Source organism: Homo sapiens, chromosome 5 (genome assembly GCF_000001405.40).
Source record: "Homo sapiens chromosome 5, GRCh38.p14 Primary Assembly".
Taxonomy (NCBI): domain Eukaryota; kingdom Metazoa; phylum Chordata; class Mammalia; order Primates; family Hominidae; genus Homo; species Homo sapiens.
The window spans coordinates 159,162,756-159,189,780 of NC_000005.10; the positions used below are offsets into that span (position 1 = coordinate 159,162,756).

At 35.2% G+C, this 27,025-nt stretch overlaps 1 protein-coding gene across 7 annotated transcripts in view; it reads right to left on the reverse strand.

Annotated features, from left to right (window-relative positions):
• Positions 1-27,025, reverse strand: part of RNF145 (ring finger protein 145) — a 52,645-nt gene that overhangs the window by 5,347 nt on the left and 20,273 nt on the right. For all 7 annotated transcript variants that reach the window (NM_001199380.2, NM_001199383.2, XM_017009138.3 and 4 more), the window contains exons 4-9: positions 19,205-19,296; positions 13,877-14,112; positions 11,228-11,403; positions 6,924-7,064; positions 6,118-6,300; positions 177-324 (exon numbers count right to left, since the gene is read on the reverse strand). In NM_001199380.2, the coding sequence (NP_001186309.1) occupies positions 177-324; positions 6,118-6,300; positions 6,924-7,064; positions 11,228-11,403; positions 13,877-14,112; positions 19,205-19,296 (976 nt within the window). The remainder of the gene's footprint in view (positions 1-176; positions 325-6,117; positions 6,301-6,923; positions 7,065-11,227; positions 11,404-13,876; positions 14,113-19,204; positions 19,297-27,025) is intronic.

Consider the following 27,025-nt stretch of genomic DNA (forward strand, 5'->3'; position numbering starts at 1 on the left):
CCTGCCATCTAACTCCTGTGCTCAAATAAATGTAATGTGTTCTAGTAAAGAGAGAGAGAAGTTATCACCTGAATAGTCCACTTATAATCATTCATCTTGAAAAAATTTAATTCCTCCTCTGGGAGGAAAAATAACAAAATTGGTTATTATATAGAGTTAATTAATCATAGGCTTACCTGAAGAGAGGTAAGAATGCTGCTGGAAATAATGATAAGAAGCCAAAAATCCATGTGGAAAAACTGGCAAATCATATAAGCCATATAAGCAGGGAATACCAATAAAAATAAACAAAGGCTTACAGCACGGAAGTGTTTCCACAAGCTCCTGGAGAAAGACAAAATTATTCTTTTTAAGTGCCTGCCACCTAGTAGCACAACCACTCACATCAGCAGCTAACATCTCTGGTGCCATGATCAAATTTCACAAATTCCCACTGAACACCCTTCTCCATGCCAGTCACTGTACTAGAGTTCAGACCAAGTCACACAGGCTTGGCATGTCAAAGCCACCACACTCAGTCAATTGCAAAGTACAGCTGATTTTCTTTTGTTCCTCAATAGTTTGCTTTCAATTGCTACTCCTAGCAATTTCAAATTATTTCAGGCTTTTGTAGCCTTAAACCTTAACAATTTCAATAATTTTTCCTGGTTAAGACAGGGAGGGAGTATTAGAATAATTTGTGGTCTTTTTCAAATCTTATGACACCCTCTTCCCACTGTTTCCACTTGTGATGAGAATCTCTGCTACAGAGAGTGCAGTGTGACTAATAGGAATGACTCTCCAATGAGCAGGTATACTCATCCTCACATCTGTTGTGGTCAGGGTAAGTGGGAGACATGACTGAGAGCAACTGTATTGTAAGATCTACTACCTGGTTTTCCTCCCTCCTCCAGCCCTGATCTATCCAGGACACTGCCAGCCAGACTAATCCTCCTAAAGCTCTACTATCGTAATATTTTCAACACTGTCTCTAAATTTTTGAGCCTGGCATTTGAGGTCCTCCACTCCTAATTTTTCCATCCAAGCTTGTCAAATCTGTTCCTCATAAACCAAGCTGCTTATTAACTAACTGCCCTCTCAGCAAAACACAAGCACTCTTACGTCCCACTAGAAATTCCTCCATCATGCTCTCCATTTCTCTAAACCCTTTAGGCTAGTTCAAGCTAAACAACTTTGGCTTTCAATTGAAATAAAGCTCATGGCTACAAAAAAATTTAAGCTGTTTTAATTAAACATCAACATCTGTGATATGTTCTCAAATCCAAGTAAAGCATCTCAAAGAGACACAAATAACATAAATCATCTCTCCTACCTTTAATTATAATATAGTCAGGAAGTAAAAGTTACCACACACAAGGTCAAATGCTATACAGTGTGGTCCTATTATAATCAGTAATTCAGAGAAGAAAGTTAATTATTATGGTAAAAATTAAAGCTGCATACTTTGGAAAGTGTTTTACATTTTTTCTTGCCAAAAACTAATAATAATAATAATAATAATCAGAAATTAAGGAACAAATGTAAACTTGTCAGTAGCTTTGCTTTGAGATTCAGCAATTTTAACTTTTTAAAGAAAGGCAGTAGCTGTACTGTGTTAGATGATGAATTATAGATCTAATAGGGCAATCTGCCTTAAAACCTTAAATATATTTTTTAAAAATCAAGCCAGCTATGATTTATATGAAATATGTACGTATTTATAAACACACATGCATAGATTTAAGCACACACACAGAAATGTATATACAACAATGTTATGTCAAGAGTTTTACATTTATGCCTAATTTTAATACAGGTGGATATATACACACAAACATATACATAGACACACATATATGTCCTTATCTAAATAGTTAAAATTAAATAAAAGCAAATTTCAAATAAAATATAAAAATAAGGGAAAATTACATTGAAACCTCGTGCAATAGGTTAAGTACTATAAAAATGACAACCCATTTCCTAAAATGTTTGCCTTTTGAAAATTTGCTACATAATTTGAATAAGTAGACCATAGTTCTAATATTCCTTGTTAAAAACTGCAATAAAATTTACAGATAAAATAACCAATTATTTCTATGGCTAAAACTAACTCACACATCCTCCTAAGCTAAACGTGGAAATTACCTACAGTTCAAGCAACTCCAAAGACGTATTTATGAAGATTTTCCCTTTAACAATTATTTCATTAATAGAAAAGTTGTTTCATGAACTATTAGTATCATCTCTTAATTGTCCTCTAACTTGAGAATTAGGACGCTTTTCCTTTCCTTTTTTAATTCCCAGTACACTGAATTGAATTCATCACAATCCTTGATTGACGATGTACTGTCATCATTTGTCTGTGCATGTCCCTCCTTTTATTTAGTCAGTAATCTAATTAACTATTGTCAATAATGTAACAAGCATTTATGAACCCACTTCCCACATACAGGTGAAGGCCTGGAGAATAAACCACATCTAACGACAGGGGCAGGCCTGCCTATATATACCATGTTCTCGCCCCTCTGCCCCACGAAACCACTATCTTGAATCCTGTGTGCTTCATTCTCTTCCCTGCTTCCCTTTTTATAGTTTGGTTTTATCTATATGTATTTCTAAGTATTACAAATTTTAAAATTTTGTTTTTAACATAAAAATAATATCCTGGCCGGGCGCGGTGGCTCACGCCTGTAATCCCAGCACTTTGGGAGGCCGAGGCGGGCGGATCACGAGGTCAGGAGATCGAGACCATCCCGGCTAAAACGGTGAAACCCCGTCTCTACTAAAAATACAAAAAAATTAGCCGGGCGTAGTGGCGGGCGCCTGTAGTCCCAGCTACTTGGGAGGCTGAGGCAGGAGAATGGCGTGAACCCGGGAGGCGGAGCTTGCAGTGAGCCGAGATCCCGCCACTGCACTCCAGCCTGGGCGACAGAGCGAGACTCCGTCTCAAAAAAAAAAAAAAAAAAAAAAAAAAAAAAAAAAAAAAAAAAAAAAAAAAATAATAATATCCTACATTATCATCTTTTTGGATTTACTTTTTTACCTCGTGCTGCTATGATCATTCATACTGATTTGTGGGTCACTATTTTTAACATAGCACTGTGACTATTACCACATTTTATCATCTACTTTCTTGTTGCATTGGCATCTGGGTTGTTCCCAGGATTCTGGTGAGGTGAACTGTTCTACGAACATTCTTCTACATGTCTCCTACTGTACACATGCAAGAGTCTTTGAATATATACCTATGAGGAGATCATGCCAAACTCTCTTCCAAAGTGACTACACCACTTTACACTCTCATCAGTACCATGGGATATCCTGTGGAGCTGCAACTTCCCCCATCATAGGTATTGGCAGATTTTTTCCCTCCCCTTTCTATCTCCTTCCTTTTGATTGCATGTAAAACAGTATCTCACTGTAGCCTTCACATTTCCCTTATCATGAATGATGCTGAACTTCTCTTCATGTTTGCATTTTTCTCTTTTCCTAAATGCCTCATCAAGTTTTTTGTCCCTTTCTCTTACTGATGTGTAGGAGCGATTCTTGATCAGGAGTGCATACTAGAAATATTTTCTTCCAGTTTGTAATGACCATTTCTAACTTAAAAACTGCCATTAATTCTAATATTAATCATTAAATGTATTAATCTTTTCTTTCATAGTCATAGTCAATCTCAGTCTTCCACAGTCAGTTCTGTCAGTTTAAGAAATCTTTTCCTACTCAAAAATATACTAATCTCAGTGGAATTTTAACCTTCTGTTTTTGACATTTAAGTCCCTAACATACTGGAGTTATTTTGTTTATAATGCAAGATAGGAATCCAGTGTTTTTCTAGCTTCATTATAGAGTAGCACCTGTCTCCACTCATCTGGCATGCCACTTCTGTCATATACCAGAGTTCCACCCATATGTGGGTCAGTCTGTGGTCTCTATTCCACTGGTCTACCTTAAGCCAACATTACAAATGCCTCGCAATATCTCCTGCCATGAGTGAAATACTTTAAAAATTGTCTGGTTTATTTCAATATTGGGATTACGATGGCTTCACAGAGTGGACTTGGGGGGTATTCCTCTTATAGTTTGAAAGTATTTGTTTTAAATAATCTGCCAAGTGTGGTGGTGTGCACATGTGTCCCAGCTCCACAGAAGGCTGAGGCAGGAGGACTGCTTGAGCCCAGGAGTTCGAGTCCAGCCTGGGCAACATAGCGAGATTCCATCTCTAAAAATAAATAAATAAATAAATAAATAAAATAGGGATAACTGTTCTTTGGAATTTGGTAGAACTTGCCTGTAATATCATCTGGCTCAAGAAGTTTGCCAACTGCTTTAATTTCTTTAACTGTTATAGAACTATTCAACTTTTTAGTTCTTGAGTCAGTTGTGGTAAGTGGAATTTTTCTCTTAACTTTATTTCATTTGTTTTAAAACATACTGGCATGTAGCTGATGGTTAGTCTCTTATTACTGTAGGCAATGGTGGGAGGGAAGAACAGAATAGAATAGTTCATGTCTATTTTTCCTCCCACAGCCAAGAGGGCAGCCTCTCCCGCCTCAGGTTAATGCAGCCGCAGCCACAAGGAATAACACAGACACCAATTCAAAGTACCCCGGCCCACATACAACACTTCTCAGTTTGCTCCTTTTTCTCTAAATCTCCTCTGCATCTAATTTTGGAGAAAGCCAGTAGTGAGGATAGTTCAGTATCCTGGGAAGACCCACAACTGCCATCCACTGATTCTTATACTAGTGGAACAACATATTTTTTCTCTTTTCTAAATATTAGTTTTATCAATATATACTAAATTAATTAGTGTAATTAATAACAGATGACATTGACAGAGATGACAAAATACTAATTGTACTTAGGTCAAAGAAATCTACTTTTCAGATCTACTAAGTGGCTATTTAATTGCGCTCACCCTTGAGTTCAACATTTTAAATGCTTCAGTCAAGAAACCTTAAACCTCACAAACAAATGTGAAATAACTACCATCAACTATGATGATTAAGAAGATCTGAAACATGTCTAATAGTTTGAGCTTATTTAAATTGATTTTTCAGCCATCCTACCACTTGAGAAAATTATATAGAATGTTTGGCAATGTGTGTTATGGGGATACAAAGATGAATCTGATGTACTATAATTAAAATGTTAATTTGGAATGTTTTAGAAATCAGCTGATACAATTCTACCTCCCAAGAGATTAGCTGTTCCCTTACTATAAAAGGCTACCGAAGAAGCAATAAATTCAGATGTATTTCTATAATCAATAATCAGAATGCAGATAGAGAACTAGAAAAAAAACAGTGACATCGAATTTTAAGAAATTCCTTACAGAATTTCCTTGTATCAACTACAATAAAAAGACTGTATCTTTAAGGAACTAAATAATAGTTTGGCTTTTATCCCTCACAAAAATTTCTGGATACCTCAATTATCCTGATTTAATCATTATACAATGTATACAGCTCTCAAAATATCACACGAACCTCAAAAATATATACTACTACTATGTATCAATAAAATATAGAGAGTTTAAAATTTTACTGTAATGCAAGATGTACATGAATCCAACTATTAATTTCATTTGGTCCTATAAGTTGTCAAGAATCCTTATAATCCAGTCAGTTGAAATTGTCTAAAACTCCATCAAATGAGGCTGTTTTTCCATAAATGTCTATTTTATGATTACCTGATAGCCTCTATTTTCCTCTCCTTCATTTGCATTTCACTTAATGCTTTCTCTCCTTTAATTAATTTACACAGAATAAAATTAAATATTATTTGTTACATTTATTATGCTAGACTAAATTTTATGCTCTATGTTCTTAATTTTAAAATTGGACAAATATAAAAAGTATTAACTTCATCTGAAGCAGAAAAAGTTAACTTATAATTACATGGCCTTTGATGTCATTTTTAACTAAAAAATCTTGAGAGAAAAAAACAAAAGTCAAGTAAGTCAGACATCTCATATAGGAAAAATAAAAACATAAACTTGTTGAATTAACCTAAGCTAATACCAATTACCCATATCCATTTTCTGTCTCTAAATATTCCCTAAATATTTAGACAACAAATGCATGTAAAGAATATTACATGAGTTAATTTAAAGAATATTAAGAGGTTTCTTACTTGTCTCTAGATGCTCCCAGTGCCAAAACAATAGGATCTGCAATTTCTAACATAGACTGTAGGATAGAAGCTACGACAATGAAAAGGATAATACTGAGCAAGAATGCCCGATGAACAACCTGCAGTTCTATCAGCCCAGTCTGCACTGCCAGGATTAACAGCGTTACTCCTTCTGTCATGCCCCTAAAAAAAGCATACATTTTCAGAAAACATAAAATAATCTGAATCTCATTTAATTCAAAGAGAAAAATAATCCAAAGGCTTAGACTCTTGTTACATATTTTTAAATCTATTCTGACTTAATCCAGACTAAAAACCTGATCAGTATATTAACTTTGTAACATTAATGAAATAGTCATATATATCACTACATGTGCAAAGGCATAATAGCTATTACTTTACCACACAATGAGGGCAAAAATAATAACTTCTAAGACAAATAGAAGTTTTCCAACCAGATTCTGTAAATGAGCCAGATATTAACATCAAATACTGTATAGAAATCAGATTTTAACAGGGCTAAACTTCAAATGGGAAAAAGCACGCTTCTGAAAATCTCTTAAAGAAATCTAGGGAAGGAAGGTGCCCAATATTCATCATAATGTATTAATACATACAATACAAATACATCTTTAACATGGAAATGTATTTTTTCATAGTATTTTAACCCAAATGTTGCAACCATTCAAAAAAAACCTCTCCAATTCCATTTCTTCTAAAATTCATCAGCCAAAGAAATTCATCATTACTTCCTCAAGTTATCTATAGTATTTACATTTCTAGATATAATCAAGGAAAGAACTTACCGATTCATGGCAGGATCATTCATGAAAGCTCGATAACCCTGCAAGTAAAACTTGCAGAGTGTGAGAACACCCAAGGCAACAAAAGAAACCGTGAAGACCAAACCCAAAAGAGAGTAAGGAGTGCTGCAGCATTCCGCAATACTGGAAAAAAAGAGGGGGAAATTAACAGACATAAACTTTCCATTTGGAGTAAACACATTTGAGGCCTTTAAATAATCACCAAGCTTGATTTGATACTCATTAATTAAAACATCCTAAACCAAAATTTGAGGAGAAATCACCCAATTACTCCATTAATAATTTAACCATCTTATTCACCTTCAAACCCACATTTTTCTATCTCATTGGCAAATATGCAGTACATAGCACCAGATCTGAAACAAGGTCTTCAAATACAGTAAAATTCAAAGAGCCTAAATGTTCACATCTTAAGAAATATATAATTAGCATGCTGACAAGTATTCAAAAGAAGCTTGTACAGTTGCCCACTCTTCTTCCTGAAAAATGATGGCTGTTCAAATTGTTCACTGTGCTACATTATAATATGAATACTTGCTGCAACTCCTTATTTGACCAAACTGCTATGGAGCAGGGTGTATCACTCCTCCTACTCCATCAGTATCTTACATACTACTGCTATTTTTAAATTTAGGTTGAGACAAAGGCATTTTTTAAAAAAGGGTTACTTCAAAAGCATGCCCAATAATTTGCTCCAAGACTATTGAAAAGTAATTTTAATATTAATTTTTAACAAAAGTTTGCTATGATACTATTCATAAGGATAACTGGAAGACATTACACTAGAACTTGGAAATATTTTCATTGAACTTCTTAGATATTAACTTATATGTATTTTATAAATACATGTACTATTATGTACTGAGATAGATTTAGCATTTACACAATATCTATCTTATATATACGTATATTTATTTGAGACAGGGTCTTGCTCTGTTGCTAGGCTGAAGAGCACTGGTACAATCATAACTCACTGCAGCCTTGAACTTCAGGGCAAAAGCAATCCTCTCACTTCAGCCTCCCAAGTAGCTAAGACCGTAAGAGCGTGCCACTGCGCCTGGCTAATTTATTCTTTATACAGACAAGGTCTTGCTATGTTGCCCAAACTGGGCTAAAACTTTCTGCCTCAAGCGATCCTCCCACCTCGGCCTCCCAACGTATTGGGATTACAGGCTTGAGCTAATGCTCCCAGCCCTTATATAGTATCTACATCTTAAGCTTTAATTTTCAAAGAAGAATTTCACTGATATAGATGAGGAATTCATTCAGGCAATCAATGCTTGTCCCTTACTATGCAGCTCCATGCTTCTATATAGTTATCTTTCCTACACAATTGCTTATTAGTTGGTTTTTATGTGAAAGCATCTAATTTTACATGGTACCAATGTACACTATGATGAGAAAAAAAGTCTGGTTTTCTGTTAGGAGCCAAAATATCCACCAATCATGGTGGCTAATAACTAGAAAAAAATAATTAATTTTATGACATTCCTACAAATTTAATTTCTGAAATGTTTGGCATTTTCACACTGAAATCATTAGTAACAATTTTAAACAAATTGTGTACAATTTTACAACATGAGAATCATGGCTGAAAACCAACTAAAATTTTACTTCATTCTTATTGAAAAAGGCTGAAAATTTAACCAAAGGTCCATACTATTTCTCTATTTTTACGGACCTTTCTCCATATTTAGAAACATTTTTTACACCCACACAATATGATTTAATTACGTATTCAAACAGAGCACTTTCCTTTTCTCTTATTTTAGAAAAAAAAATGTGGTGCTATTTTTCAAAACAGAGCATACTAAATACCAAAGATTTCGACCTAGCTTTGGGGAAGTGAAAGAGTTTGGAAAATTTATAAAGTTTTTCTTTGCTCTCTCTTCATTCAGTAACTCATTTTTATTAAATCTTAATTTCTATTTTCTGGCTGCAAAAAAAACCTTTTTTTTGATTTGCAGTTTGATCTGGTGTGCTTTATTGTTGGTTGGTGTGTTTGTTTAGTCAGGGTATTCTGGTAAGCTCCCAATCTCTTTTTCTAAATAAGTTGTTTTTTTGGCAAAGAAACATAAACATTACCAGGCACACAAAAGCATGGATAAGAACAGAGAATAACTCTTACAGAGATATAAATTAACAAAAGAACCAATATGAGAACTTCTCAAAGCAAATTACAACATTCTTATCATGAAAAAAGGCAATCTATCCTGGCGAGGCATAGAAAAAGAAAAGAAAAAAATTATGTTAGCAAGATATCTAAACTTCACAGAATATCCGAATATTATTTTCTTACTTTGTAAATAAGTCCAAATGCATTCATGGCTTAGTAAATTGTTAAGCCTACTGCACTATGCTATACCTCATCTTACTGTGCTTTGCAGCGGGTAACAATCTGGTTTAAAGCACCACCAATTCAGTCTCACGCTGAGTTTATTATCCTAACCACAGAACTGTCTCTCTTTCTCTCTATATGCAGTTACTTTTTGGGTCATTTTAAAAGTCTTCAGGCCGGGCGTGGTGGTTCACACCTGTAATCCCAGGACTTTGAGAGGCTGAGGTGGGTGGATCACCTGAGGTCAGGAGTTCAAGATGAGCCTGGCCAACATGGTCTCTACTAATAATATAAAAATTAGCCAGGTGTGGTGGCGCATGCCTGTAATCCCAACTACTTGGGAGGCTGAGGCAGGAGAATTGCTGGAACCTGGGAGGCGGAGGTTGCAGTGAGCCGAGATTGTGCCACTGTACTCCAGCTGGGCGACGGAGCCAGATTCCGTCTCAAAAAAAAAAAAGTCTGCATAAAACCTCCATAATACTTATATCAAAAACAAATAGCAGTCAAATTTACTTAATACTAGATTAATCGTTAAAATGTATTTGAATTTGACATCAACTTACTGCATGTTTATAGAAGCTACTTATAATTGTTATTCATTTTTAGAAAGTTCAAAATCTGATTCAGTACCAGTATAAGTTTATCCCACTTATTTCTTAAAACAGGTTTTTGTCCTGTATATTTTTAATATTTACATTTGTGTTAATGCTTTCCTAGTAACATGCTCCTTAAGGATAGTAAACTTGTCTTAAATTTCTCATAGCCTACACCACTTAGTACACAGTCTTCCATCATATTGGATGGCTGAGAAACAATGACTATTAACTAGAACTTAAAACTGTTATCTACCTATATTTACTTTATAGGAGGACAGATTTTCATCCCTACTTTTTAAAGTGACAATGAGCAAGGGAACCAAGATGTATATTCATGTACTAGATTCTGAGAATGTGAGATTCAAACTCAAGAGTGGAAAAAATAACAAATGTGGATCTAGCAGAAGCTCACAATAAAATGGGAAAATGACTTAAATGACATGAGATTTAAAAAGACAAAACAAAACAAAAACCCCTAAATATTAAAAACCGAGTCTTAGAATTATTTTGGGTTAGTCCAAGCTTGACTAACCTGCAGCCCAGGACAGCTTTGAATGCAGCCCAACAAAAATTTGTAAACTTTCTTACAACACTATGAGATTTTTTTTTTGCAAGTTTTTTTTTAAAGCTCATCAGCTATCGTTAGTGCTAGTGTATTTTATGTATAGCCCAAGACAATTCTTCTTCCAATGTGGCCCAGGAAAGCCGAAAGATTGAACACCCCTGGGTTAGACAGTAAAGTACTATTATCTACCCATTTCACCAATTACCGGACTCTTTCTCGATACTGAAGTCAACAGGGACAAAGGCAAAGTATAGAGAGTAAGTCACAGGCTTCGAACTCAGGTGGGTCTGAGTGCCAGTTCTGCTTCTTTTGGCAGTGTTACCTGGGGCAAGTTATTCCTGGTACAGTTTCTTCAGCTATAAAATGGTAATTATAATAAAGGCACCTATCTCTTAGGGTCGTTGTAAAGATTAATGTGAGGCAAAGTGTTTAATGGTATGGTACATTTTAAATACTCAATAAATGTTATTTTTATAATATACTTTTTTCTGATTGACCCAATAATTTTAACTTGAAATTGAAAAAATACTTTTACGATTTGCTATGTACCTTTCCACAAATCATTTGCTACACTCTGGTCCATAGTGCAGCCAAATAAACCACATTATTATGTTAGCACCTCCCTGCATTGCCAAACCTAGGTATCCAGTGAATGAAAATCCTATCTTAACAAAATACGAAGTTGTGTAACATGAACGATAAAAGTAATCTGCAAAACTTACTATTCCTAGATCAAAGTTTTCTCTTTCTAAGGTTATATATAGTATCATAGGCTCTTATTAATTACCTTGTCAGAAAAAGGAAAAGAAGCCTCTCACGTGATGCAGGCTGATCTCGAGTACTGAAATAGGAGTAAATCTGAAGAGCAAATAAGACGAGCCAGAAAACCATGAAAAGAACAGGGACTACCAGTTGATTCCACAGGGACATTCCCAAGGCGAGAAGGCCATATACCTCCACTACCTAAATAAAAACGTAAGATAGGAAAACTTCTTGCATCACCATCAATAAACACTTTAAACACTTGAGTCAAATCAGAAGTAAAATATTAAATAGCTTTTCTTTGATTGCAAGACTGTTTCAGCTAAATTCCTTTAAAGTTAGCCTATATAGTTAATAAATAGCATGTTTTTTAAAACTTACTAATTTTGCATTATTATTAACACTTGACACACACTTATCTAATAGCACAGTAAACTGCCCTAATAGTTCAGGGATAAGGTCAAAATAAGGTCATATTCAGTACAAAATAACCTTAAAAGGTAGTTTGAGGAGACTTGGTAAACACTCATGTCTAATCAAAATAATCAGGACTAGCATGAATTGATACAACACTGCTTGAGGCACTAGGAAAAAAAATGCAAAAGTAAAAACTTTCAGGGTTTATTCAGAAATGTCACAAATGAGAAACAGTTCAATGGAAGAAGAGTACTTAATCACTGGAAAAAAATTTTGCAGAGCAAAGATAGTTAGCAAGTCTTTTTCTCCCATACACATCAATTCCCCTTCCTCCTACTGTGTTTTTATCAAGCTATGTTTTTCCATTTGGTTTGCCAAGTGTAAGTAACACTAGGAAAAGGATATATCTTAAAAAAAAAAAAGGCTTAATAATCTGCAACTCACTAAATTAGTTTTCCAGTTTATAAAACACTCTTCTTATGAAACTGATTAGGAAAAATCAATCACAGAATCTGATTCAATCTAAGAGCATAGGTGTAACCAAGTTTCTAGAGTTACTATGTCAGGGACCAGACCCTGGTGACACAGCAGGAATTCTGCTGGACAGCTTACAAAACCAGTATCTAGCAGTCAGCTGGTCTTGCTGGAATCTCTCAATGTGATACCAGAATGTTTCAATAAGGTATAAACATCTTTAAGTATTAAGTTAAAATAAATTGACTTGCAGATTATTCTAAATTTAAAATTCTTTCATCAGTAAAGCAAAGGCTTTTTCTACAACCCAGTCTATTAACTTCTATTTTCCCCAGTGACAAAAGATTAAAAGAAAAAGGAAACTGCCCAACTAGCTGCAAAATTATTATCAGGTAAACTCATCATTACGAGGCAGAGAATATTTTTCTTCCTTTCCATTCAAGAAACAGACCACTAAAAAAACCTGTCTGTTTCCATTTCTTGCTTATCTGATTCTTTCCTGGTCACGCATTTTATAACCTATATTTCCAACAACTACATCTAGTTGATGTATGAATCTTATGGCAACCAACTAAACATGACATTAAAAAATGAAGGCTGAGGTTATTCAATAAATATTTAATATTCAATAAGTATTTACTGAATATTCATTATTTATTACAAACAAAGATAACCCTCATAAGACTGAATTCAAAGAAAAAATATGTATCTTAAATTTGTCATTATTACCCTGAATACAACTATAACCCTTCCTGCCCTGCTTCCCCATGAAGCCACTCTTCACTGACTGTAGAAATAATCCCTTTTCTGGAAGATCTACTCCTGGGAAAACTGCCCAAGTTAATCACTGTGTAAGACGAAGATAGAATCAGGCTAAGGCCAAAAGCTTAGAGAAAGTATTCTCAAAGATCTGCCCCTGGGGCCACAAGAGAATACTTCACTTAGCTGTTATCAGTTTGTTCTATCTGAGAGCTTCCTGTACCTTAAGGACACAGTCAAGAGGTGGAAGACAGTGACATTTTAACACTCTCTTTTTATACCAATGTCAGGTTAAAATCTATTTTATATATTACAAACTATCAATTAAACCAAACAGAAACATTTATTTCCCAAATGTGTATTGTTTGTATCTGGGAGTAATTTATCTTAGAGCAAAGGCTGAAAAAAGTAGGGAAGAAACTTTTACAAAAAGCATGTTATGTTGGCAAAGTCAATTCAAGTACTATATCTAAATGAAATCTATCATATTATAACCCAGAACTATTTAACTTTTCTGTTTAAATTAGGCACACAAAGGGAAGAAACTATAGTCACAGTAGGACTATAATCAGAAGGAAAAAGCAGGATTTGACTTATAGGTATTCAATTCTTTATTATTTTTGTCTTCATTACAATAGCTAACACATATGGAACATTGTCTGCCTGGTACTAAACTCATTTAAATCTCACAGAACTCTATGAGGAAAGCACAGCTTTCATTATTAGCTCCGTTTTACAGAAAGTAACGCAATTATCACAAGGTTACACAGCTAGTGAACAGCAGCATCAGGGTTCGATCTCAGATAAATCTGCTTTAAGAGAACCACTTCACTTTACTGCCTTCTCAATAGAACATAATCAAGAATCTTTCAGATGCTCCTAATTGGGCTGAAAATAGCAGCTGTTTTGAAACTGCAAAAATGAATGGTACCATAACTGTGAAATAAAAATGAACTATAACTTTAATGTACTTAACATTTATGTAGAATTTTATCTACCTGTTTGTGGTTGTCAGCAGTCTTACCTGAACCAATTCTCTGTATGCAGATTTAGCAAGGTTATAAGGTACCAAAAGATTAGACCCAAGAAAATAGAGAACTTCCAATCCAGTAAAAATCATAGCAAATTTATTGATGATAACAATTGTCTCCAAAGGAACAAGGCAGAGTCGTGCTAGCAGAGGAAGCATGTGAGCTGAAAACAGCCAAATCTGCTTTGTTTTCATGACACAGGAGCATAAAGTACACACCACCAACTGACCTAAAATAGGGAATAGAATACATTTAATTTTGAGTATTTGGCATCCACAAAATAAAAACAAACAAAAAACACTGTTGATAAGGATAATAACACAACTTTTGAAGAAGTCTAACTAAAATCTCGTAGATAATATTTTAAATCAAACTTAAACTTCATCTGACTATAATTACATATTCACATGTTCTGTGAATTTTGAATACTAATTCTGTAGGGCTGATCTGGAAAGAGCAGCATAAATCTCCACTGGTCGTCTGTGATGCCATGTGTAATATGAAGAAAACTTTAAACAATGTCTAATTCAGTATTGTGACAATTCAGTTGCTAATGTTTATACATAACTTCTTTTCCAAAGGTACGCAATATTTAACTGTTCTGGTCTATAGGTGAAAGCATAAAATCCAAGAGATATAATTACTTGTTCAAGATCATACTGCAACAATATTTGTTCTGATAATTTTTTAATCTTTATTTTTGGAGGGCCAAGTAAACTGCCCCAAATAACTAAATCATAAGTTAAAACTAAAAACTAAATAAATTCTTCTCACTGGGGATTACGCATGATCATTACATTAAACACAGAAATACAAAGAACAAAATGGGAAACTCTCAGTCTCTTATAATCCCACAACCCAAAGGTAGTCCTAAGAACACCCTGGGGTACACTGAATGTATGTGACATGATATTTGCATTTAGCCCTTTCCAAATATTCCATAATTATAAAATGCTTTGTATGAATAAGCTTTTACATTATGACATCCTTGTATAAACTACTTGGAACACATTTCCTAATATTCTCTTAGGCTAGGAATTACTGAATCAGAAAAAAACATTTTTAAAGACTTTGACACACTGTCAAGACTGCCCTCCAGCAACAATTTACCAGTGTATAATGTGGCTATTTTTCTATTAACTTGCCATAGTGAGTATAATTTAGAGATGGGAAGAACAGGGAATATTTCCCAAATTTTTTAAATTGGCATTTTGTTGGTTACTAACAGCACTGAACATTATCAATAAGTATATGAAAACATTTGCAATTATTTGGTGAAATGTTCACATTCTTTGCCCATTTTTCTGCTAGAATACGTATCCTACTGCCTGATCGAAATAGTAATCCTTAGTCACATGATTGCATTTTTCTAATATGTCCCTTGTCTTAATATTTTAAATAACTTTATTCTCTTATAAAAGTATGTATTGAAAATAGTCAAACCATTTTTTTTCTTAATAGTACCCACCTTTAGTGCCATGGCTTATTACATGGCTACCCCACTCAAGATTATACAAATAGCTGTATTTTCTTTTAGTAATTTTTAGCTAATTTTTAATTTTAACTTAAAAATTAATACATTTGATTTATTGTGGAATAAGAAAATAAAGATCGAAGTTTGTTTTTTGTACATGTTTAGCTGGTTATCTCAAAACTGGCTACTGGAATCATCCATTCCTTTCTCATTAATTTGAAATGCCACTGTAGTAAACTCCAAAATCTTTTACATATTTAGGTCTATATAAGAACTTGTTACTTTTTGTTTTCAGTGATCTATTCTAATGATGGTACCACCCTGCTCCATCATACTGATTGGACAAGTCCTCTCTCATTGCTCCTTTCAGAATTTCTTGGAGATTACTGAATGTTATTTTCCAGATTAATTTAGAATAATTAATCATATTCTCTCACTTCTTGTCAATGAAAACCAAAATGAAAATTTGGGACTTGTTTGTATTCTATCCATATACATGTTGAATATTCCTAATCCAAAAATCTAAAATCCAAAATGCCCTAAAATCTAACATTATGCTCCAAGAAAATGCTTATTGGAGTATTTTGGATTTCAGATTTTGGGATTAAGGATTTCCAAACAGTAATATAATGCAGATATTCCAAAATGTAAAAAAATCAGAAATCCAAAACACTTCTGGTGCCAAGCATTTTGAATAAGGAAAATTCAATTTGTGTTAGAAAAATACAAAAATGTCAACCATTTTTACATAAGACCAAACACTTACAACAATCTACTATGTCATAAACACATACGGTATTTTATCTCACAAAGCATTAATTTTGGCCTTTAAAAAACTGATACTAAAGTAATGTGAAAAATAATCATAAAGGCATAAAGAAAAGAAAAACTCCTAATTATATAGAAAACAAGAGGCCACCAAATGATCTGGCTTTCACTGTGTTTATAGCTATGAAATTTAAATGTCCTTGTTGAGCACAATGTAAACTTCCTCTAAGCTCTGAAAATTCCCTTAAGTCTATGCCAGCACATGTGGTGCTCAGTGCTGGGGTTACAGGCTCCCTTTATCTTCTTTCATAGAAGAATATGACTCATATGGCGTATTTAAGAGAAGACTACTCCTGCTGACGTAAAAGAAGGAAGGAGTCATATTGTTAGTGGAATTTCCCCTGAAGTTCCAAAAGAATAAGTTGTTTGTCTTCTGATTTGCCTATTTCAACTTTTAACTCTGCATAAACCAAAATCCCAATGTACTCTTTAGATTTCAGGATTCCACTATTAGAAATATCTCCAAGAGGTTGGCAACCCTAAGAAATCATGGCATATTAAAATTACCTAGTTTTTCAAAAAAGTTTGTTACTGAAATGAAGAAAAACACCAGAAAATTATTTTAAAATCTAAGTTGGAAGAAAACATGCTCCTTAATAGTTTATGGACTTTGGAAAGTTGAATCTTAGTTAAGTAAACAGAAGACCATGGCCACTGATAAGAAGAGTTTTAAGAAATATGCTTCATATTTATAATACAAGTATATGCATCATAAACTAAAACTTTACAAGCTTTCTAACTTGGCAAATATCTTCATTATTGAATGTTACCGTTAATAAATATGCCAACTCATAACGATAGTCATAAAGCAACATTATTTTTGTCCTCTGCTGTCTTTTAAAATCCACTCTGTAGAGATTAGTGGTTTTCCTGCCCCTAGATAAAATCCAAGGCAAGTCCCATAACTTTTCTACTCTAGCTTAGGTTACTGTCTCAATTTAATAATAACTGAAACTTTCAAACAGATTTAAAGTTGAGACTTATCCCTTACTCTAGAGTTCAGGCATTCTAGGGAAAGCATTAATTTTTACCTTTATGCTTTAAGATAGAAAACCTGCAAGTGGGAGAGAAGGTGGGGAGGTTGTGGCTGGCTTCTTTCTCTTTTTTGACCTAGCACTTCTCCCTCTCTCTCTGACTTACCAAGGATTGAAGTGGGTAGGGAAGAAGGAGAGGGAGGGAAGTAGGCAGGTTCCTACTTAACTGGACTCTTACAATGATGTGGTTGTTACTGGTGCTTCCTAGACTTGAGGTATCTAAAACTGATTTATTTTCCCCTGGACCCTTTTATGGGTTCTTCTGAAACCGTTCCTATCACTGTGGCTCTCTCACCTGCAGCAGTACCCTTGGTGCTTGGTATACACCCTCAACTGGCCATTTTTGGCTCTTTTCTCAGCTCCTGGGAATCTGGAAGGTCAATCCCTGTTGAGGTCTTCTCATCCATCTAAAAGGCCTTCTTGAACAGGACCCAAGAAAATCCTACACAGACTTTCGGGGCCACTGTCTAGTTCACAAGAAACTTACATCCTTTGCTCTACAATTTCCTGTATCAGAAGATACAGGAAAACCCTATAAGGCATTTTCATTCCACAGTCAAAACACTCAACAAGCAACTAGTCTATTGCTAGTCCTTTATATCAGATTAGAATTATAATGTAAGCCAAATATAATTTTAAATTTTCTATTAGTGTCATTTCAAAAAGTAAAAAGAAACAAGTGAAATCAACAATATATTTTATATAACCTAACATATCCTAAACATCATCATATAGACATTCAATCTATATTAAAAGTTAACAAGATGTATTAAAAGTTAACCTGGTTTGTACCAAGTCTTCAAAATTGAGTATGTGCTTTACACATACAGCACACCTTAATCTCAATTCACCACACTGCAAGTGCTAACCAGCCACATGTGGCTAGTTTTGGACAATGTAGTTTTAGATTTTGCAGGCTGAAAAGGCACAAGAATGATATAGTGGAATTCTGGCCTCCTGGAAAGGTGAGAGGTGGGTGAAGGATAAAAGACTGCACATTGGGTACAGCATACACTCCTCAGGCGACGGATGCACCAAAATATCAGAAATCACTGCTAAAGAGCTTGTCCATGTAACCAAACACCATGTGTTCCCCCAGAAACTTATCTAAAAAATGTTTTCCCAGCCTGGGCGACAGAGCAAGACTCTGTCTCAAAAAAAAAAAAAAAGTTTTTTAATGTAAGAAAATAAAAATAAAAGTGTAACTCAAAAAAAAAAGATGTTCCAGGGTGAGTCAGACACCAGTCCACAGCATTCCCCCCTTCACCACACAAGACACATAACTCCCCAAATGGTCCCCCAGTGAATCCTCTAGTGTAAAGGGCTGGGGAAGTATTTCAGAAAAAAAGAGTTCTCTCTGAAGAAATCCTCCTCTAATCTCTAATATTAGGCCTGTTAACACCTTCTACATGGGTGAGTTTCAAAGTCACAAAACAGGTTTTCTCTTACTTCCTTTTTTGCATTTTGGCATGGTACACTCTGGTAGCAGGGGTCTGGTACTTCACTTTAAATTGTATCTATATTGTTTTTAGGCCTTAGCCAACACTTCTATTTTTAACATTCTGCTACCTGAATATTTCAATCACATCTCAAGTTCTTGATGTTTCCGGACATTCATTTTTGACAATAAGGTCATGGCTTTCAACAGCAATAAGTAAATTTAAGATACTACGTGTTTCATTTTAATCTTTCAAAGTAATAATTAGCTCTATTTAAAAATTAATCTTCTCAAATACTTAAAAAACCCTTAAAAAAACACAAGCAACTGTGCACTATGTACAATATGACTATAAATACATAATCTATACATGGGGAAAAGAAGACTTAAAAAAAAAAAACCACCAAACAATGGGTATATGTGGGAAAAGTCCCCATGAATCACTTTTGAGAATTCCGTTTTAAAAAAAAATGAGTATGCATGAATTTTATAAGTTAGTAAGACTGGTCGGTTCCTACCTACACTTTAATTCTTTTATAATACTTACCTATTAAGGCTGTGGTAAACCGATTCATAGAGAGAGGTTCTAAATACATTGGTCCCTCATAGGCAAACTCCAGTTCACTCCGAACATAGTCCCTAAATAAGAAAATTGATTAGAATGTATATATTAGATACATTCCTAGCGGAATCACAATATGCTTATAAAAGCATATTATGTTAATGATACCCCTTTCCATATCTAAGGAAAAATTTAGATATGAAGAATTATATATAAATGGCCTTCATCTCTGTTTTCTGTGCACTAGAAACAGACACAACTTATTGAAATGGAATTTTACCATACAGAGAAAGCTGCCAAAGCTCCACATTATGAAATTTTCTTTCTTTTCATGGCCTTATTAAATATTTTATGCCCAGTAAAAACCCAATTGAGAGCTGATCTCTCTCAACTCTACTACACTAACCAATCACATCTAGTGATATTACACTAAACATCTCTTTTGGCTATCTTCCACCACCATCACCCCACCCTCATCTTATTTCCCTCAAAGTTTTGGCCCCGATTATATTTTATTAGTCCCAAGTAGAACCACAAACTAGTTAGAAAACTGGGGGATAGGAGTACAACCCTTAAAAATTATCATTTTCAACTCTATATGAAATCTAAGATAATTATAATATTTAAGTAGGCTACATATTTACTTTGAAGCAAATTTTACATCAAACAAAATATTCCTTTTAAAATTTAACTCATTTAACGTGTGACTACTGAGAAATAGTAAGCTTTAAGTAATAACCAGAGCCTTTACACACTCAGAAAACAGGCAGGAAGCACAACCAGGGAGAATTTAGTTTATTATCAGTAAGTTACATGGGAGTACTGGAAGACAGTTTGTCTAAAGTATTTTTGGCATCAAAGAAGGGAAGTTTGTGTAAAAAAATTCTTCCCTTTTTTTCAACTTTTAATGCTTTATTCATTGTATTTAAAAGAGAACATTTCAAGTATTTCCAAACAAACTCATATGGCTGTATTTACTTTTTCCATGAAATGACTTCCCATTAGGCAATCAAGTGGAATTCCTTTAGCACTGCATAGCCAAACAAGGAAAGACCCTCACACAATCAGCCGGAAGGGTATTTGCAAAAAAGAATCAAAACTTAAAACTAAAAATTGTTAAAAGAATTAAAACAGTTTCTGAGATTATAAAAATGCATGACTAAGTTATATGGGTGATCTAGCAATTCTCCTTTATCACTCTTAGATGATGGTTTCTAACACATAATGTATTAATTGTCTCTTTCTACTGAAAGAGGAAGCCAAATTCTCAGGAAGAATTATTGTAATGCAGTGGTTGTCAACCAAGGGGCAATTTTGCTCCTGAGGGGATATTCTACAACCTCTGGAAACATTTTTGGTTGTCACAATTGGGGAGAGGTATTACTAGCACCTAGTGTGTAAAGGCCAAAGATGCTGCTAAATATTCGTCAATGCAAAGGCTAGCCCCTAGAACAAAAAATCATCCAGTCCAAAATGTCAACTGTGCAATATTGAGTAACCCTGTTTTCATGTAGAAAGACACAAATGCAAATAACACATAAATATCTGATTACTATAGGTAACCATCAATGGAATTATATAGTTAGAAAACTAAAAAATTAAAAGAATTATGAAATTAGAACAAAATGCATATATAAATAGTATTAATACAAAGTATTTTAAAATGCTATTTGAAAAATAAATTTATACCTAAAAGAGATACAACTCTGAGTGTCAGTACTATCCAGACCTTTAAAGCCCAATAATTTCTTTTTGGTCATAGCATATCTCTCTCCAATGGATACAGTTTAAACAGGGGCCAGGAAAAATCCATACAGACAAAACACAGATTGGTGGTTGCCAGGGGCTGGGGAGAAGGGGAGATGAGAGTAACGGCTTAATGAGTACTGAGTTTTGTTTTGGGTGACAAAAATGTTTTAGAATTAGATAAAGGTGACAGCTGCACAACATTATGAATGTACTATATGCCACTGAACTGCTCACTTTAAAATGATTAATTTTATGTTATACGAATTTTACATTAGAAAAGGGAGAGAGGTCAGCTCCAAGAGCACTATCCCCAAGGAGAAAGCCACAAAGTGCCCCAGAAGGGCCTCAGTCCCAAGTGTCTCTTTGTGAGGGACAAGAAAAGACAGAAGAATTGAGGTCCCTACCATGTTTTCTTTCCACTGTTTGGTTTTGTCACATATTATTGATATTTTATAATAAAGCTCAGCAAACTAAACATTATGCTAGAATTTGATTGCTGAGACATTTGTTAATTGTTCTGCATTTTTTCATAGCCTACGTTAGTTTATCCTCTTTTTAAAAACTTTGTCTTTCTTTAGAGTTTCTTACCTTAAATTCTAATTTCACACAACAAAATTTCTAGGGATAACTAACATTCTCTGTTGCTTTTTAACTCAAAAAGAAATTACTGAATACATAAGTGCTGGCACTCTGCTAGACTCTGCTAATACTGCACATTCCATACTAGCACGCAACTTATAAACAGGGAGGGGAGATAAATACTTAGTCCTATAATTATTTAATTATGATGATGATCAGTGCTGTAAGAAAAAATACAGAATGCTGTGAGGATTTTAACGTCTTTTTTATTGATACATAAAAAGATTTTAAATTCACAGCATATTTAAAAACTACATCTTTTATTCTCTATTTCTAGGTTCTAACTTTTTCATTTAACTAATAATATTTCTATCTGCCTTTTACTTTTTTATCTTAAATACTACTTATTTTACTTCTCCTATTTCATATGGTTATTATAAAAGGTTTTAACTATTTCCTTTTCTTTTATCCAACCCTATATTTCATTCCTTTTTTAAGCCTTCTCTTAACTTTGTAATCCTTTCCATTATTTTCTTTTTAATTATTTTTGCTTTCTCTATACTCATTACTTTGCGATTTGCTGTGATTATAGGACCCTAAGGGAGGTCTGCATTCCAGAAGAATAAATGATCAACCTTTAGGCCACAATGACAGCCCTGATGTTAAGTGGTTTCCTCCCACTCGCTCTCCTTACTTTGTCCTCCTCTAGGATCCCAGGATTAGCTCTCCAATACTGTACTGCCCCCCACATTCCTGTTCAATTTAAGTCTGTATCATTCATCATAGCCTCAAAATTAGTATCATCCCTAGGCCCCTTAGAACGTTTCCCCTTTGCTCGATTCCTCTCTTTCAATACAGTCCTCCAAAATCCTCCATTTGGCTGACTCACCAAAAAGCCCCACCTCAGTAAAAACAGCCAGGCCTAGAAAGCCTGCAGACTCTCTCTTTAGGCCAGCTCAGCTTAGCATGCCAGAGTCAAGGCAGTAGTTTTGGTGACAGCTAAACTACCTAGTATGCCACACAACCACTATGGAGCTGTCACTTCTAAAAGGAGGATCTGGGCATCCCATCCCAAACTGTAGAGAATAACTGAAATAAGAATCAGGGTTAACAAAAATCTCTATATCTTACTTATGCACAAATTCCAGGTATCTCATGCTGGCATTGAGAATTCTTGGTAAATCAGTCCTAACAGGGATGGTCATTCACAACATAAGAAAAACAAGACAGTAAGCCTAAATAAGAAGGATCCAAAGTGGGAATTATCCAAAATTCCATGAGTCATTTTAGGTGAAAAATTAGTTCAAGGCAAGAGTCATAAAATTCTAACTTTTAACAACAACATATGATTCTCTTAAGACTCAGGTGAGCTATTCAAGAGAAGCATTACAATTTTTCATTTCAGAAGACTTAAAAGGTAGAATGTTTTAATATCTTCAGAAACAAGAATTCCTGCCAATCTACTTATAACTGAATAAAATATTTTCCTTCTTAAATGTTTTTTCACTTGTGGAAGGCTGATAATCACCCCAAGGCACTAATAAACTGAAAAATCTACGTCCCTAGTCCTGTATAACAGCCTCCCCTCTTTTAACTCAAACTGGGGCCACAAGGAATGTACAAGATCTATGAAAAGGGCCTCCGGCCATGGTAGCTCAAGCCTGTAATCCCAGCACTTTGGGAGGCCGAGGCAGACGGCTCACTTGAGCCCAGGAGTTCGAGAGCAGCCTGGACAACACGGTGAAACTCCGACTCTACAAAACAAAAAATACAACAATTAGCCAGGCGTGGTAATGCCTATAGTCCCGGCTACTTGGGAGGCTGAGGCGGGAGAATTGTGTGGACCTGGTAGGGGCAGGGGTTGCAGTGAGCCAAGATTGCACCACTGCACTCCAGCCTGGGTCAGAGTGAGACCCTGTCTCAAAAAAGAAAGAAAGAAAGAAAAAGAAAAGGGCCTCAGAGCTTGCAATTAGAAAAATTCTTGCTTATAAAGAGAAGTATACATGTTACAAAAAATAAATGGGTACCAAGAACAAAACCTAGTAGCTTACCACTTCAGCTAATTAAAGACCTTTATTATAACAGTCTCTTCAGCGACCTGACTCAGACACTGGACAACCTAGGAACAACTTGTACATTCTGGCTATTTACTTAAAGCTTTCAAACAACGTTAATTCCAAAGAAACCTAACCTGTTTTCACACAAAAGAGGTGTGCCAAGTTATCTTTTGCAATATGGGCAACAAGAAGCACCACTTGGTACAAGAAATCTCAGATGTTCAAATACCTGTATTTCCTTATATGCCTACTAAACACACATATACGCACACAAACATACCTACCATACCGTCAGCACTGAGCTAGCAGTTGAATAATTCATTTACCCAGAGTTTATTTAAACTGTTGACACCCTTTCTTTAGTTTCTTTCTGGCCTCCTAGATATTGAGTGCCTGTATTTGATAATGTTCAAAAGCAGAACACATGTCAAACAGTGAAACTGGTCAATTTTATTCCTGTCAAAATTAAGTTTAGAATATAAATGGTAATACTCATTTTAACAATCCAAGCTACTTGGGAGGCTGAGGCAGGAGAATCACTTGAGCCCTGGAGGCGGAGGTTGCAGTGAGCCAAGATTGCACCATTGCACTCCAGCCTGGGCAACAGAGCAAGACTCCGTCTCAAAACAAAAACAAAACAGTTGGGCGTGGTAGCTCATGCCTGTAATCCCAGCACTTTGGGAGGCCAAGGTGGGCGGATCACCTGAGGTCAGGAGTTCAAGAACAGCCTGGCCAACATGGTGAAAGCCTGTCTATACTAAAAATACAAAAAATTAGCCAGGCGTGGTGGTGGGCACCTGTAATCCCAGCTATTTGGGAGGCTGAGGCAGGAGAATCACTTGAACCCAGGAGGTGGAGGTTGCAGTGAGCCAAGATCACGCCATTGCACTCCAGCCTGGGCAACAAGAGCAAAACTCCATCTCAAAAAACAAACAAACAAAAAACAATTTATCTAGTTTTTTTTTTTAAAGAAAAAAAATTTTTTTTTGAGATAGTCTCACACTGTTGCCTGGGCTGGAGTGGAATGGCACGATCTCAGCTCACTGCAACCTCTGCCTTCCAGGTTCAAGCGATTCTCCTGCCTCAGTATCCTGAGTAGCTTAGATTATAGGTGCCTGCCACCATGCCCGGCTAATTTTTTGTATTTTTAGTAGATACGGGGTTTCACTATGTTGGCCAGGCTGGTCTCGAATGCCTGACCTTGTGATTCACCCGCCTCAGCCTCCCAAAGTGCTGGGACTACAGGCGTGTGCCACCACTCCCGGCCTATCTATAGTAGTTCTTAACTGAGGACAGTTTTGTTCCTCAGAGACAGCATGTGACAATGTCTAGGGACACTTTTTGGTTGTCATATTTGCTGGGAAGAGGGTATCACTGGGGTCTAGTGGGTAGACAGAGTGTTGTCAACATCCTATAATGCACAGGACAGCTTCCGTAGCAATGCATACCCTGCCCAAAATACTAGTATCCCTGAGAAAGAGCAGCCCCAATCTACAACTTTGAATTATGCAAGTCATCATAAAATGGAGAGCTGATTATCCATAGTTTACACATAAGTCACTCTTGGGGAAGTTTTTACATTTGAAACCGTACTTACACACCGAAGAGCCAGAATGAAAACAGTATTACTTCCTTCTTTTGAAAGCCAGTTCTACTGGGCTCTTAATTCAAGTCACAGACACACAAATCCAATATGTTGGTTCATAAATCTAACAATAAAACAAGGAATTTAAGAACACTGGGCCAGGCACAGTGGCTCATGCCTGTTATCCCAGCACTTTGGAAGGCCAAGGCGGGCGGATCACAAGGTCAGGAGACTGAGACCATCCTGGCTAACATGGTGAAACCCCATCTCTACTAAAAAAAAAATACAAAAAATTAGCTGGGCATGGTGGCAGGCGCCTGTAGTCCCAGCTACTCGGGAGGCTGAGGCAGGAGAATGGCGTGAACCCAGGAGGCGGAGCTTGCAGTGAGCCATGAGCCGAAATCGTGCCACTGCACTCCAGCCTGGGCAACAGAGCAAGACTCTGTCTCAAAAAAAAAAAAAAGAAATACTGGAGTTTAGAAATTTTAGAAAAAACATCCATCTGTGGATGTGACCACACCCTCACAGGAATGACCACCACACTCTCACAGGAATAGTAGTATCAGTGTATGGTTTTTCTTTTTTCCCCCTTAGTTTTGGATAGTCTCAATTTTCTATACGGATTAGCACTAGAAAAATACATTCCCTACATCCCTCAAAACGCCAAGGAAGAGTTTAGTAATTTTAAAAATTTTAAACTGACATTTACCAAATTCTGTTAAGTTCAATTAGAATATCAATATTAAATATTTATATGACATTGACTGAACCCATGAATCTCTGACATTTAATTCTTCCAAACTGCAAGCTATATCCATTCTATAGACATATTCTAAACAAGTTTTTAGTCATTTCAGGATAATAAGTTTCATTATGTAAATACACATAAAGGAAAACAGAAACCCAACTTTTCAAAAGTTCATGAAATTTTCAACTTAGAAAATTAATATTTGCAAATGTCTTTTTCTATAAGCTAGTTTTTAATTTTTTTTTTCTTGTTTCCAATAAGGCTGGATATAGCCAGTTTTTTAAGTACGAAATTAATTGTTAAAATTATTATAAGTGCTGATTCTCCTTCTCAGGAGCATAATAAACTATGCCTTGATATAACTAGATTGCAGTGAATGGAAGAATATATTTGTAAATTATAGATCTGATAAGGGACTTGTATATATTTGCAAATCATAGATCTGATAAGGGACTTGTATATATTTGCAAATCATAGATCTGATAAGGGACTTGTATATATTTGCAAATCATAGATCTGATAAGGGACTTGTATCTAGAATATATAAAGAACTCCTACAACTTAGCAAGAAAAAGACAAATAACCCAATTAAATACTGAGCAAAGGATGTGAATAAACATTTTTCCAATATTTACACACGGTCAATGAACACATGTAAAGATGTTTAACTTCATTAGCCATCAGGGAAATGCAAATCTAAAGCACAATGAAATACCTCTTCACACTCACTGTAATGGCTCCACTAAAAAGGACAACAATGGATGCTGGCAAGAATGTAGACAAATTGGAAGCCTCATACACCGCTGGTAGAAATATGAAACACTGCAGCCATTTTAACAGTCTGGCAGTTTCTCAAAAGGTTAAATATAGGCACCACATGATTCAGCAATTCCACTCCGAGGTATTTGTCCAAGGAAAATAAAACATTTGTCTACACAAAACCTGTACATGAATTGTCATAACATTATTCATAATAGCTAAAACATAGAAACAATCCAAGCGTCCATCAAAAGATAATTGGATGTATAAACAAAATGTGACATACATCCATACAATGGAATATGGACAGAAAAAGAAAGTAAGCACCA